The 14,526-nt window shown below is 38.9% G+C and overlaps 1 pseudogene; it reads right to left on the bottom strand.

The window, feature by feature from the left end:
• Window positions 1-359: 359 nt before the first annotated feature.
• LOC100128121 (60S ribosomal protein L9-like) lies at window positions 360-12,010 on the bottom strand (annotated as a pseudogene).
• Between the last annotated feature and the right edge of the window lie 2,516 nt (window positions 12,011-14,526).

The raw sequence follows: 14,526 nt of genomic DNA, 5'->3' as shown, positions 1-14,526 counted from the left end.
ACATGTTCTTATTACCTTAGACAGAGTTGCTTGTATCAATCACTGATAAAATAAATGGAATTAACAAAGTTCACTTGAACTAATCATGACACATCCCCAGAAAAGTGAAGTTGATCTCTCAAAATGCAAGTCTATCACCTGATGGGAAATAAATAGGGTGGAGGAGGATAGACTCAAGACCACAACAGTAGGTGAGAAACTTCTCCTGTTATATAGGATTATTATTTTGGGAAAAGTATACTTGATAATGGTAATTATTTTCCAAATCAACAGGTCTTTTATTGCATCATTTAAATATCACAGTTAGTTCTTTGGAATCATCTGGCATCTTGTTTATGTAACCAGACAACTGTTATATCTTACTCAGCTTGCTGAACTGTCCCTTTTTCAGAGACATAGATGCCATCCAAAATTTTTCTGATACTCTTGTTTTTAGCTGTTGTGGCTTGCTGAATCAAAGCAGCTGAATTTGAAACAAGTTCAATGTCATTTCCTTCCAGGATTAAGTCATCTTTCTGGGCTTGAGATATACTGAACAAGCAACACCTGGCCTCATCTGAACCCTGTGGAAATATATATATATATTTGAGATGGAGTTTTACTCTTGTTGCCCAGGCTGGAGTGTAATGGCGTGATCTCAGCTCACTGCAACCTCAGCCTCCTGGGTTCAAGTGATTCTCAGCCATTCGAGTAGCTGGGATTACAGACGTCTGTCAGCATGCCTGGCTAATTTTTTTGTAGTTTTAGTAGAGACGGGGTTTCACCATGTTGGCCAGGCTGGTCTCGAATTCCTGACCTCAGGAGATCCTCCTGCCTTGGCCTCCCAAAGTGCTGGGATTACAGGCATGAGCCACCTCACCCGGCCTTATCCAAGAAATGTCTGATTTCAAAAAGAGACCTATTCTCAGGGATAATGACATTGATGGGGAAGTGAGCATACACAGACCTCATATTGTAATGGAAGTCCAGTGTAACACCTTTGATCATGTTCTGTATGCTACTATGAATAGCACAAACGGTAGCCACTTTCTATTTCCCCCCTTTTGTCAACCTTGAGCCTCTTCTTTTCCTTTCCAAGGAGACTAAGTTCTACATTGATGTGACTGAAGTCTCTCTGCAGGTTTCCTCTGGGGCCCTTCACAAAAACTACGCATCCCTTCAGAGTGGTGTTGACATTTTCTGAAATATCAACAGTCTGCCGAGAATGGTCTTCATTCCCACAGTAAATGCAGCAAACACTGGTAAAAATTTTTATATAACAAATATATATATATTTAAATTAGAACCCAGAATCCTATCACTTCATAATATGATATTGCTGACTCACTCCAAACAGCTGTTCAGGCATGCACATATGCATAAATTGTGTAAACTATATATACTTAACTGTAACCTTTTTTCCTATGCAATCTGCTGTAGAAATCTTTTCATTTAGATTTATATGACCATTTTTGCTAATTAAAATACCCCATTGTAAGCAAATGCTTTAGTTTAGAACTTTCCAGTCAGCATGCCATGAATGGACTTCAGGTACATCTCAAGCTGTTAATCCACTTGGTCCTCAGTGTAGCCAGGTGAATCCAGGGGCTTCCCAGCATATAGCTTTATTAGAGTAAGATTCTGATGGCCCTGCTCAATGATAAAATTTGTAAAGCATAGCCACTAATTTCCACCAGTTTTTGATGTTTCTGTTATTTCAAATTTTTCATTATTAGAAACAAATTACTATAAATATTATTAATCATATATTTTTTCCCAGTTGTCAGTTCTGGCAATAAAATTTTAGACAATTGTATTTTCAGCAGGTTTTTTAAGGCTGCAAGAAATAGACATGCATAACACTTTTTAAGTATTAGAACTTCAGTGTTGAGACATATGAAGATGTAGAAGGATAGTGGTTACATTCTCATCAGCTGTTAATCAAGACCCTCATCAAGTTCATTTGATATCACTTGGAATAACAATTAGAAATAAGGTGATCTGCTCACTAGACTTGCTAATATTTAGACATCCTAAAGTGGAGTAATGTGAAAGCAGTACAGAGGAGGCTGGCTTCCCTAATATTCAGCTAAGCTATGGATGGTTTGAGCCAGTACTTTTTCCATGGGTACCAGAGGTGTTTCCATTCAAATTTTCCAGGGGTGTGTGTGTGTGCATGTGTACTTCCAAGCACATAAAAGAGAGGCAGAGAAGTGGGCAGGCAGTAGGCAGACAAAAAACACAGGCAGACAAACAACATTTTCTGATGATAATGGCTGAGCTTAAAATATCTTTAAAAGGTTAGAAACCTAAAACAACTTTTCCAAAAATTCATATTATTAGTTCCATTTTACAAAGAAGGTAGAGGAGTCTCAAAGACTAACAAAAGCAGAAAGTCTTCAGAGTGATCTTTGACTCAAAATTCTATACTCTCTATTTGAAGCCAGCTTTATTATCCAGAAAGGAACTGGTAGTGATGCAGGACAAGAAAGGCCCAAAATTGAGGCTTAGCCTGGGAGGGTTTTTGGCTCTACCCAGGGGTTCTTGGCTTTGCCCAGTGAGGAATTCAAGGGTGAACTGGTGGTGTTAAACAGCAACTTTTATTGAAGCAGCAGTGAACAGCAGCCAGCAGAGATACTGCTCCTTGCAGAGTAGGACTACCCCATAGGCAGTGTGCCCAGAGTGGCAGCTCAAAGGCATGTCTGCATGCATATTTATACCTACTTTAAATTATATGCAGAAATTCCTAGGAAAAGAGTGACAACTTCAAGTTGTTTGGTCATTATTATAGAATAAGGCAGCAACTTCCAGATGTTGCCATGGCAATGGCAAACTAATGTGGTCCACTGGTGGGGTTTGCCTTATGGAAAGCTGTTTCCCCCGCTGGACCTGTTTTAGCTCGTTCTCTATTTGGCCTGGTGTCTGAGCCCCGCCTCCAGAGTCAAGTAGCATGGGCTGCCCAGTTGCCATTTTCTAAATTCATGGAAAAAGTTCGTGTTGATTTGGGTGAAACTTGAGCTTGATAGAAAAGAACAATTTGGCAAGTTCGTATTCAGTGAACTGCATGATGAAAATGCCAGATCCACATTAGCATAGCACAATCGCAAATGACTGTACAGTAGTCCTCCATGAAAAATGGCTACATTAATGATTGCTTACTGATCAGTCTAAGTTCTAGGATAAGATTTGCTAGGAAAATCCCTGAGAGGCCTTGAGTTGCTCAGCACTAGTACTATACAGTATGGATTTTATGTGGTGTTCATCATCGTCTTATACATTCAGACTATATAAAGGTTGCCAATAAGCAAACAGAATCAGCTGGGTAAACTACATCTTGATATTAAATTCTGTAGAAATTGATAAATAAGCTCTAAAGTTACAATGATTTATCAGAATGATTAAAGCCATAATTTTTATACCATTGATTTTAACCACACAGACACTGCTGCTGAAAGGAGCCAATCATGTATAGCTTACCTGAGACACAAAATTTTAAAACTTTGTAATAATGTTAAATATATTCATGTAAAAAATGGATCTGACATGGGCAAAACATGCAGAATACACATATGCACCAATAGTCACTTTATTACGAATACTTTGTTGGCTCCTTGTTTTCTGAATAAACAAAGTGGGCAAGGAGACTCTAACTTTCTCCATAATTACACTTTTGAGATCACTTTATTCACCAAATATTGCTTCAGATTCTATTATGTGCCAGGCAGACAAAAGGATGCAACATTGAGCAAGATGGATATCCCCCTACCTTCAAAGAGCCTGAAGTCTAGAGAGAGACAAACAATTAAAATTGTTTATCTGACTATTACTAGACAGTGTAATGGGAACTCTGCTTGGAAAAGAGGAAGGCATGGTTGCTCCTAACCTACATTTTGGAGGAGCGACTTCTTATCTGATCTAACAAAAAAGTTAGGTAAAGAATGGTAAGAATAAGAGAATATCCTGTGAAAAGGCCAGAAGTTCAGAGAAAAAGATTCGTTCAGGGAACTGCAAATATTCAGGCATGTCTAGAACATAAAGTCTAAGTGGGGAATGGTGTAAAAACCTCAAGAGGTTGAAGAAATAAGCTACAAGCACATCACAAACTCCAAAGCAATTAAATAATTTGAACATTATTCTGAGGGCAATTGAGAGCAAGGTTGCCAGATAAAATGTAGAAGGCCCAGCTAAATGTGAATTTCAAATAAACAACAAATAACTTTTTCGGTATAAATATGTCTTAATTATTATTAAAAACATACTATTAAAAAATCATTGTTTATTTGAAATCCAAATAACTGGGTATTCTGTGTTTGTATTTACTTAATCTGACAACCTTCATAGGAAGCCACTAAAGGAGTTTAAGCAGAAGAGTTAAATGATATAATTTGAGCTTTAGAGAGGTGCCACTGGTTGTGATATAGAAAACAAATTCATTCATTTGTTCACCTATGACATCATTTTTTGAGCAGGCACCTTTTATTCCAGGCAAAGATTTAACTAAGACACAAATCTGTAATTCCAAAAAAAAAACTTAGGGCAGTGTCTTTTGAGTAGCATCCTTCCTATTTTTGCCATATTTTCCCTTCCTGTATTGATACTTATGCTGTAGTATGTAGACTGGTTGACTGTATAGCACATTGACTATGGAGCCAGAGAATCCGGATTCAGTCTCTGACTTCCTCTACTCATGAATTGTGCAAGATACTTAACCTCTTATGTCTCAGTCTCTTTATCTGGCAAGAAAGAATATAATGTTTTCTGCAAATTGTAGGGATCAAATGAGTTAATGTATGTAAAGCCCTTAGAACAGTGTCTGACACAGAATAAACTTTATGAAAGCATCCATTCTTACTCTAAGTATAAACTTACATTTTCTGTGATCCTCTGAAGCTTTCTTCTCTCAACTCGTCAAAGTCATTCTCTGTCCAGCTTTGTTCAATTGCTGGTGAGGAACTGCGTTCCTTTGGAGGAGGAAAGGCGCTCTGCTTTTTAGAGTTTCCAGTTTTTCTGCTCTGTTTTTTCCCCATCTTTGTGGTTTTATCTACTTTTGATCTTTGATGATGGTGATGTACAGATAGGTTTTTGTTGTGGATGCCCTTTCTGTTTGTTAGTTTTCCTTCTGACAGACAGGACCCTCAGCTGCAGGTCTGTTGGAGTTTGCTAGAGGTCCACTCCAGACCCTGTTTGCCTGGGTATCAGCAGCGGTGGCATCAGAACAGCGGATTTTTGTGAACCGTGAATGCTGCTGTCTGATTGTTCCTCTGGAAGTTTTGTCTCAGAGGAGTACCCGGCCTGTGAGGGGTCAGTCTGCCCCTACTGGGGGGTGCCTCCCAGTTAGGTTGCTCAGGGGTCAGGGGTCAGGGACCCACTTGAGGAGGCAGTCTGCCCGTTCTCAGATCTCCAGCTGCGTGCTGGGAGAACCAATGCTCTCTTCAAAGCTGTCAGACAGGGACATTTAAGTCTGCAGAGGTTACTGCTGTCTTTTTGTTTGTCTGTGCCCTGCCCCCAGAGGTGGAGCCTACAGAGGCAGGCAGGCCTCCTTGAGCTGTGGTGGGCTTCACCCAGTTCGAGCTTCCCAGCTGCTTTGTTTACCTAAGCAAGCCTGGGCAATGGCGGGCGCCCCTCCCCCAGCCTCGCTGCCTCCTTGCAGTTTGATCTCAGACTGCTGTGTTAGCAATCAGCCAGACTCCCTGGGCATAGGACCCTCTGAGCCAGGTGCGGGATATTATCTCCTGGTGCGCCGTTTTCTAAGCCCGTCAGAAAAGCACAGTATTAGGGTGGGAGTGACCCTATTTTCCAGGTGCCATCTATCACCCCTTTCTTTGACTATGAAAGGGAACTCCCTGACCCCTTAACTACTCCAAGCTACAGGAGGAAATTCAAACCAAAGGCAAAGAAGTTAAAAACTTTGAAAAAAATTTAGAGGAATGTATAACTAGAATAACCAATACAGAGACGTGCTTAAAGGAGCTGATGGAGCTGAAAGCCAAGGCTTGAGAACTACGTGAAGAATGCAGAAGCCTCAGGAGCCAATGAGATCAACGGGAAGAAAGGGGATCAGTGATGGAAGATGAAATGAATGAAATGAAGCGAGAAGGGAAGTTTAGAGAAAAAAGAATAAAAAGAAACAAACAAAGCCTCCAAGAAATATGGGACTATGTGAAAAGACCAAATCTACGTCTCACTGGTGTACCTGAAAGTGACGGGGAGAATGGAATCAAGTTGGAAAACACTCTGCAGGATATTATCCAGGAGAACTTCCCCAATCTAGCAAGGCAGGCCAACATTCACATTCAGGAAATACAGAGAATGCCACAAGGATACTCCTCGAGAAGAGCAACACCAAGACACATAATTGTCAGATTCACCAAAGTGGAAATGAAGGAAAAAATGTTAAGGGCAGCCAGAGAGAAAGGTCAGGTTACCCACAAAGGGAAGCCCATCAGACTAACAGCGGATGTCTCAGCAGAAACTCTACAAGCCAGAAGAGAGTGGGGGCCAATATTCAACATTCTTAAAGAAAAGAATTTTCAACCCAGAATTTCATATCCAGCCAAACTAAGCTTCATAAGTGAAGGAGAAATAAAATACTTCACAGAAAAGCAAATGCTGAGAGATTTTGTCACCACCAGGCCTGCCCTAAAAGAGCTCCTGAAGGAAGCACTAAACATGGAAAGGAACAACCAGTACCAGCCACTGCAAAATCATGCCAAATTGTAAAGACCATTGAGGCTAGGAAGAAACTGCATCAACTAATGAGCAAAATAACCAGCTAACATCATAATGACAGGATCAAATTCACACATAACAATATTAACTTTAAATGTCAATGGACTAAATGCTCCAATTAAAAGGCACTGACTGGCAAATTGGATAAACAGTCAAGACCCATCAGTGTGCTGTATTCAGGAAACCCATCTCACTTGCAGAGACACACATAGGCTCAAAATAAAAGGATGGAGGAAGATCTACCAAGCAAATGGAAAACAAAAAAAGGCAGGGGTTGCAATCCTAGTCTCTGATAAAACAGACTTTAAACCAACAAAGAACAAAAGAGACAAAGAAGGCCATTACATAATGGTAAAGGGATCAATTCAACAAGAAGAGCTAACTATCCTAAATATATATGCATCCAATACAGGAGCACCCAGATTCATAAAGCAAGTTCTGAGTGACCTACAAAGAGACTTAGACTACCACACAATAATAATGGGAGACTTTAACACCCCACTGTCAACATTAGACAGATCAACGGGACAGAAATTTAAAAAGGATACCCAGGAATTGAACTCAGCTCTGCACCAAGTGGACATAATAGACATCTACAAAACTCTCCACCCCAAATCAACAGAATATACATTTTTTTCAACACCACTCCACACCTATTCCAAAACTGACCACATAGTTGGAAGTAAAGCTCTCCTCAGCAAATGTAAAAGAACAGAAATTATAACAAATTGTCTCTCAGACCACAGTGCAATCAAACTAGAACTCAGGATTAAGAAACTCACTCAAAACCGCTCAACTACATGGAATCTGAATAACCTGCTCCTGAATGACTACTGGGTACATAATGAAATGAAGGCAGAAATAAAGATGTTCTTTGAAACCAATGAGAACAGAGACACAACACACCAGAATCTCTGGGACACATTTAAAGCAGTGTGTAGCAGGAAATTTATAGCACTAAATGCCCACAAGAGAAAGCAGGAAAGATCTAAAATTGACACCTCATATCACAATTAAAAGAACTAGAGAAGCAAGAGCAAACACATTCAAAAGCTAGCAGAAGACAAGAAATAACTAAGACCAGAGCATAATTGAAGGAGATAGAGACACAAAAAAAACCTTCAAAAAATCAATGAATCCAGGAGCTCGCTTTCTGAAAAGATCAAAAAAATTGATAGATCGCTAGCCAAACTAATAAAGAAGAAAAGAGAGAAGAATCAAATAGATGCAATAAAAAGTGATAAAGGGGATATCACCACCGATCCCACAGAAATACAAACTACCATCAGAGAATACTATAAACACCTCTACGCAAATAAACTAGAAAATCTAGAAGAAATGGATAAATTCCTGGACACATACACCCTCCAAAGACTAAACCAGGAAGAACTTGAATCCCTGAATAGACCAATAACAGGCTCTGAAATTGAGGCAATAATTAAGAGCCTACCAACCAAAAAAACTCCAGGACCAGATGGATTCACAGCTGAATTCTACCAGAGGTACAAAGAGGAGCCGGTACCATTCCTTCTGAAACTGTTCCAATCAATAGAAAAAGAGGGAATACTCCCTAACTCATTTTATGAGGCCAGCATCATCCTGATACCAAAGTCTGGCAGAGACACAACAAAAACAACAAAAAAGAGAATTTTAGACCAATATCCCTGATGAACATCGATGCAAAAATCCTCAGTAAAATACTGGCAAACTGAATCCAGCAGCACATCAAAAAGCTTATCCACCATGATCAAGTGGGCTTCATCCCTGGGATGCAAGGCTGGTTCAACATATGTAAATCAATAAATGTAATCCAGCATATAAACAGAACCAAAGACAAAAACCACATGATTATCTCAATAGATGCAGAAAAGGCCTTTGACAAAATTCAACAGCACTTCATGCTAAAAACTCTCAATAAACTAGGTATTGATGGGACATATCTCAAACTAATAAGAGCTATTTATGACAAACCCACAGCCAATATCATACTGAATGGGCAAAAACTGGAAACATTCCCTTTGAAAACTGGCACAAGACAGGGATGCCCTCTCTCACCACTCCGATTCAACATAGTGTTGGAAGTTCTGGCCAGGGCAATCAGGCAGGAGAAAGAAATAAAGGGTATTCAATTAGGAAAAGAGGAAGTCAAATTATCCCTGTTTGCAGATGACATGATTGTATATTTAGAAAACCCCATCGTCTCAGCCAAAAATCTCCTTAAGCTGATAATTGACTTCAGCAAAGTCTCAGGATACAAAATCAATGTGCAAAAATCACAAGCATTCTTATACACCAATAACAGACATGCAGAGAGCCAAATCATGAGTGAACTCCCATTCACAATTGCTTCAAAGAGAATAAAATACCTAGGAATCCAACTTACAAGGGATGTGAAGGACCTCTTCAAGGAGAACTACAAACCACTGCTCAACAAAATAAAAGAGGACACAAACAAATGGAAGAACTTTCCATGCTCATGGATAGGAAGAATCAATATCGTGAAAAGAATCAATATAGATTCAATGCCATCCCCATCAAGCTACCAATGACTTTCTTCACAGAATTAGAAAAAACTACTTTAAAGTTCATATGGAACCAAAAAAGAGCCTGCATTGCCAAGACAATCCTAAGCCAAAAGAACAAAGCTGGAGGCATCACGCTACCTGACTTCAAACTATACTACAAGGCTACAGTAACCAAAACAGCATGGTACTGTTACCTAAACAGAGATATAGACCAATGGAACAGAAGAGAGCCCTCAGAAATAATACCACACATCTACACCCATGTGATCTTTGACAAACCTGACAAAAACAAGAAATGGGGAAAGGATTCCCTATTTAATAAATGGTGCTGGGAAAACTGGCTAGCCATATGTAGAAAGCTGAAACTGGATTGCTTCCTTGCACCTTATACAAAAATTAATTCAAGATTGATTAAAGACTTACATGTTAGACCTAAAACCATAAAAACCCTAGAAGAAAACCTAGGCAATACCATTCAGGACATAGGCATGGGCAAGGACTTCATGTCTAAAACACCAAAAGCAATGGCAACAAAAGCCAAAATTGACAAATGGGGTTTAATTAAACTAAAGAACTTCTGCACAGCAAAAGAAACTACCATCAGAGTGAACAGGCAACCTACAGAATAGGAGAAAATTTTACAATCTACCCATCTGACAAAGGGCTAATATCCAGAATTAATTTCTTAATACAGAGAGGGCTTCCATTTTTCCATCTATAGCATGAGAGGTTTTTACATTATCACATGGGATTGTTGTGAGAATTATATGAGATAATATGTTTCACAGTGTAGCATATTGTCTGGCATATCAGAGGGGCTCAACAAAGGGAACGTGCTTATAGAAACAGGCCTATTGGAGGTGCAGAGGTGGTGACAGTGGCAGTCATGGTGGAGGACATGGTGACAGTGGCGGTCATGGTGGAGGCCATGGTTACAGTGGTGCTAAGAATAATTAGGAGCAAATATTATTGAATTACTATGACATAGTATTAAATATAATGAAAAGGTTAAAAATTAAATCAGTTAGATGAGGATCCAATGCCGCATTTATTTGACATTTTAAAAGCACCAAGCATTTAAATAAGTTGCATAGTCTTTGAGATCCTCAAACATAGTATAGTGGTACTTGGTACCAACCATATCAGAAGATTATAAACATTCAATAAATTAATTGATCACCTCTTATGTACCACATATTGCACACATAATATCTCATTTAATCCTTACTTCAACCCAGCAAAATGTGATCTCCATTTTATAAATGAGGAAACTGAAGCTCAGCGAGTTTAAGTGACTTTCCCAGGGTCACAGTAGTAGAATATAGTAGAGGCAGGTTTTAAACTAAAGATATTCTGTCTTCATTTACATCCTGAGCTCCGCCTGCCAAGCTGCTACTCACAATCCTTAATCTTTCTAACAGCACCTACTACAGTGCATGGCACATAGTAGATACAAGTTGTCTTCCCTAACCCCATATCACTATGGGTACATGAGTCCATGGAAGACTTAATGAACATTCAGATATGGTCAACACGGCTAAGCTTACCAGGGAAGACTTTTTTTGCTGCATGTGGCAGATCTGATTCAAACTATCTTTGTTTCCTACATGTCACTTATTGCAACTTGAAGTTATTTAAATATTTGTTTAATATTTTTGTCTCCCCTCAAAACTAGAAAATAAACCCATGAAGTAAGGAATTTGTTTCCTGTTCTCAGCTATATCTCTTCCACCCAGCGGAGTGCATGACAAACAGTAGATGCTCAATAAATCTTGATTGAATGAGTGAATACATTCTTTGAAACAGTATTTTTAGACCAATGGCAGTCTTTTTTCAGATAACCTAAATACAACACTGTAGTTTGACATAATGTGCACGGCACCACAATTTAAAAATTTTTGTTGATCAAAGGCTATGAAACTTACTTAAAATGCTTAGTGCTTTTAAAAGGTTGAGTGAATGGGGCATTGAATCTTCACTCACCTAACCAACTAAATCTTTACTCTTTTCATTATATTTAGTGCTATGTCGCAGCATTTCAATAGCCACCCCAACAGGAAATGGTGAGCAAAGTCCTGTAATGTGTTTGTAAAATATTATCTCAAGTAAAAACCCTCAACCCTGATCATGGATCTTTCAGACAAAAGCATACTTTTATCTTCCTAATCTGTTGGAGACTTTTGCCCGCCTAGCACTGCACACCAGGCAGTTTCTCACACTCATTTTTTAAGGTCAGCGAGAAAGACAGAATTTTGTAAATAAGCCCCACTCTGAATTCACTCATTGTTCTTTCCTATTATTTACATAACTGGTATTCAGTCTTTGGCCTTACAGTGAGAAAACTACTTCTTTATCATCAATAAACCAGAGCTGTGTATTTATAGAGAATATCTAATGTATGACGAGTACTCTCTTTCTGTGGATCTATCTTGACTCCCGGCAGTCAGTTTACTGTGTATTTCACTCAACTTGATAGAGTGCAAGTAGGTGAGTATTTTCAGATGATTTGTCAATATCAACTGATGTTTTCTTGTCACAGATAAACAGCCTGTGCCATGAATCAATAGCGTGTCAGCAATGCTGTCACGATCCCCCCCTAATGTGTGTGCAGCGTATTGACAGCTGATACATTACCGTGAATGTCTGCAAATGTTAAACAGCTTAGCTATTTGTGTGCCGCCACTCGGTGCCTCTTTACAAAGTAGGACATTTGTTTCAGTGGTGGCCAGGGAACGTGACCGAGGTTGGTTTGCCTGAATAACAGCAGACAGCTTCATTCCATCACATTCCAGCTGTAAGTTTCCATTGAACCAATTAGCTGAAATCCATCTAGGCTGTGTGGCTTTGATTACACAGCTGTGCTTGAAACAACACGCTGATCTTTTTGTTCACATCAAAGTTATACACTATCCTGAACCAGAGCCTTCAAAGTCAGCATTTTGTACAACCCTACACAACTACACAACTGAGGTCATGCAAATCAGGCCAGGATGCCTCCAACTCATAATTCTGGGTCAGACAGATTTTTCTCTAAAGTCAAGCCGAGTGAAAGATCCCAGGGTTACCAGCATCACTAGTACAAACAGAGAAGTCAATAACAGGTGATTCTATCCTGGAACCTGGATTGGCATTTTCAACAATCTCTACAGCAGACAGTACAGTGTAATAATTTAGAGCATGGGCTTTGAAATTAGACTAATCTTGTTTTAGTCCTTTCACTCACTACCTACATAATCCTGAGCAAATTGTTTTGCCTGTGCTTATTTTATAATAGGGATCATAATAATAAAAGCTGGTTATTATGAGGACTAAATGAGACACTACATGTAAAATTTAGCTTAGACTCTGACACTAAATATGTTCTTAAAACCTGGAAAGTTTTATTAGAAAAAAATGAGCAAAATAAAGACATAAGAAGGCAAGATTTCAGTGAATTTGTCTTATTAGGGAGATGGAACTGGTAATGTCACCCTCATATGCAAATGAATAGCCAACCACTTATATGGCTTGACTTTATTAGATAAATGCCATCTCCATTTCACTTTGTACACATAGAATTTTTAATGTGCTTTAGGATATCAGTAAGGTAAATAATATAAACCTCTTCAGAATCCTATGCATGAAGGCCTGTCTGAATAGAAATTCCTAGCTGATTGACACTTGATATATGGTAAGAACAATATATCCTCTTAATTCACTCTCTAATTGTTTTGTTAATACATACACACACAAAAGAAATCCAGACAAACAATAAACTTTATGTTTGCAAAGGTTTCTGCTCCTTCAATACCAAGCTTTTACCAAAATTATAAATATATTTTTAAAGGACATACAAACACATTGTCTTAATTCTCTTAAGAGAAATATGAAATAAGTAGATTAGGAGGTATTATTCCATTCCTGAAATCAGAAAAATGATTTGCCCAAAATTATGTACACAATATTGCCCTTACTCCCAGGCAAGACCAAGATGGTACCCTGCTCCAGGTTCTACACTTGGAGAGAATGTGTATCACAAACATCCCCAAAATAACACTCAGATCTGATACAGTGTGACCCCAAATCCTAAATATCTACTCTCCTAACTAATACTATTCAGGCTAAAGAAACATTTCTCCACCTCTGTTGCCCTGAATCCTCTAAAAAGACATTTATGTTCAAAAACTGGGAACGTTTGTGGTTGTCTGTTGCTGGTATTAGAGACAGACACTGCTTCAGAGCAAGGGTAGGATTTGAACAGCAGAAGTTCTTCCATAAAAGAAAAGACAGTACATAGGCATGGGCAAGGACTTCATGTCTAAAACACCAAAAGCAATGGCAACAAAAGACAAAATTGACAAATGGGATCTAATTAAACTAAAGAGCTTCTGCACAGCAAAAGAAACTACCATCAGAGTGAACAGGCAACCTACAAAATGGGAGAAAATTTCGCAACCTACTCATCTGACAAAGGGCTAATATCCAGAATCTACAATGAACTCAAACACATTTACAAGAAAAAAACAAACAAACCCATCAAAAAGTGGGCGAAGGACATGAACAGACACTTCTCAAAAGAAGACATTTATGCAGTCAAAAAACACATGAAAAAATGCTCACCATCACTGGCCATCAGAGAAATGCAAATCAAAACCACAATGAGATACCATCTCACACCAGTTAGAATGGCAATCATTAAAAAGTCAGGAAACAACAGGTGCTGGAGAGGATGTGGACAAATAGGAACACTTTTACACTGTTGGTGGGACTGTAAACTAGTTCAACCATTGTGGAAGACAGTGTGGCGATTCCTCAGGTATCTAGAACTAGAAATACCATTTGACCCAGCCATCCCATTACTGGGTATATACCCAAATGACTATAAATCATGCTGCTATAAAGACACATGCACATGTATGTTTATTGCGGCATTATTCACAATAGCAAACACTTGGAACCAACCCAAATGTCCATCAATCATAGACTGGATTAAGAAAATGTGGCACATATACACCATGGAATACTATGCAGCCATAAAAAATAATGAGTTCATGTCCTTTGTAGGGACATGGATGAAATTGGAAATCATCATTCTCAGTAAACTATCGCAAGAACAAAAAACCAAACACCGCATATTCTCATTCATAGGTGGGAATTGAACAAAGAGAACACATGGACACAGAAAGGGGAACATCACACTCTGGGGACTGTTGTGGGGTGGGGGGAGGGGGCAGGGATAGCATTGGGAGATATACCTAATGCTAGATGACGAGTTAGTGGGTGCAGCGCACCAGCATGGCACATGTATACATAT

Source organism: Homo sapiens, chromosome 5 (genome assembly GCF_000001405.40).
Source record: "Homo sapiens chromosome 5, GRCh38.p14 Primary Assembly".
Classification (NCBI taxonomy): domain Eukaryota; kingdom Metazoa; phylum Chordata; class Mammalia; order Primates; family Hominidae; genus Homo; species Homo sapiens.
The sequence above is the reverse complement of the archived record's forward strand: the minus strand, read 5'-3'. Positions and strand labels throughout refer to the sequence as shown.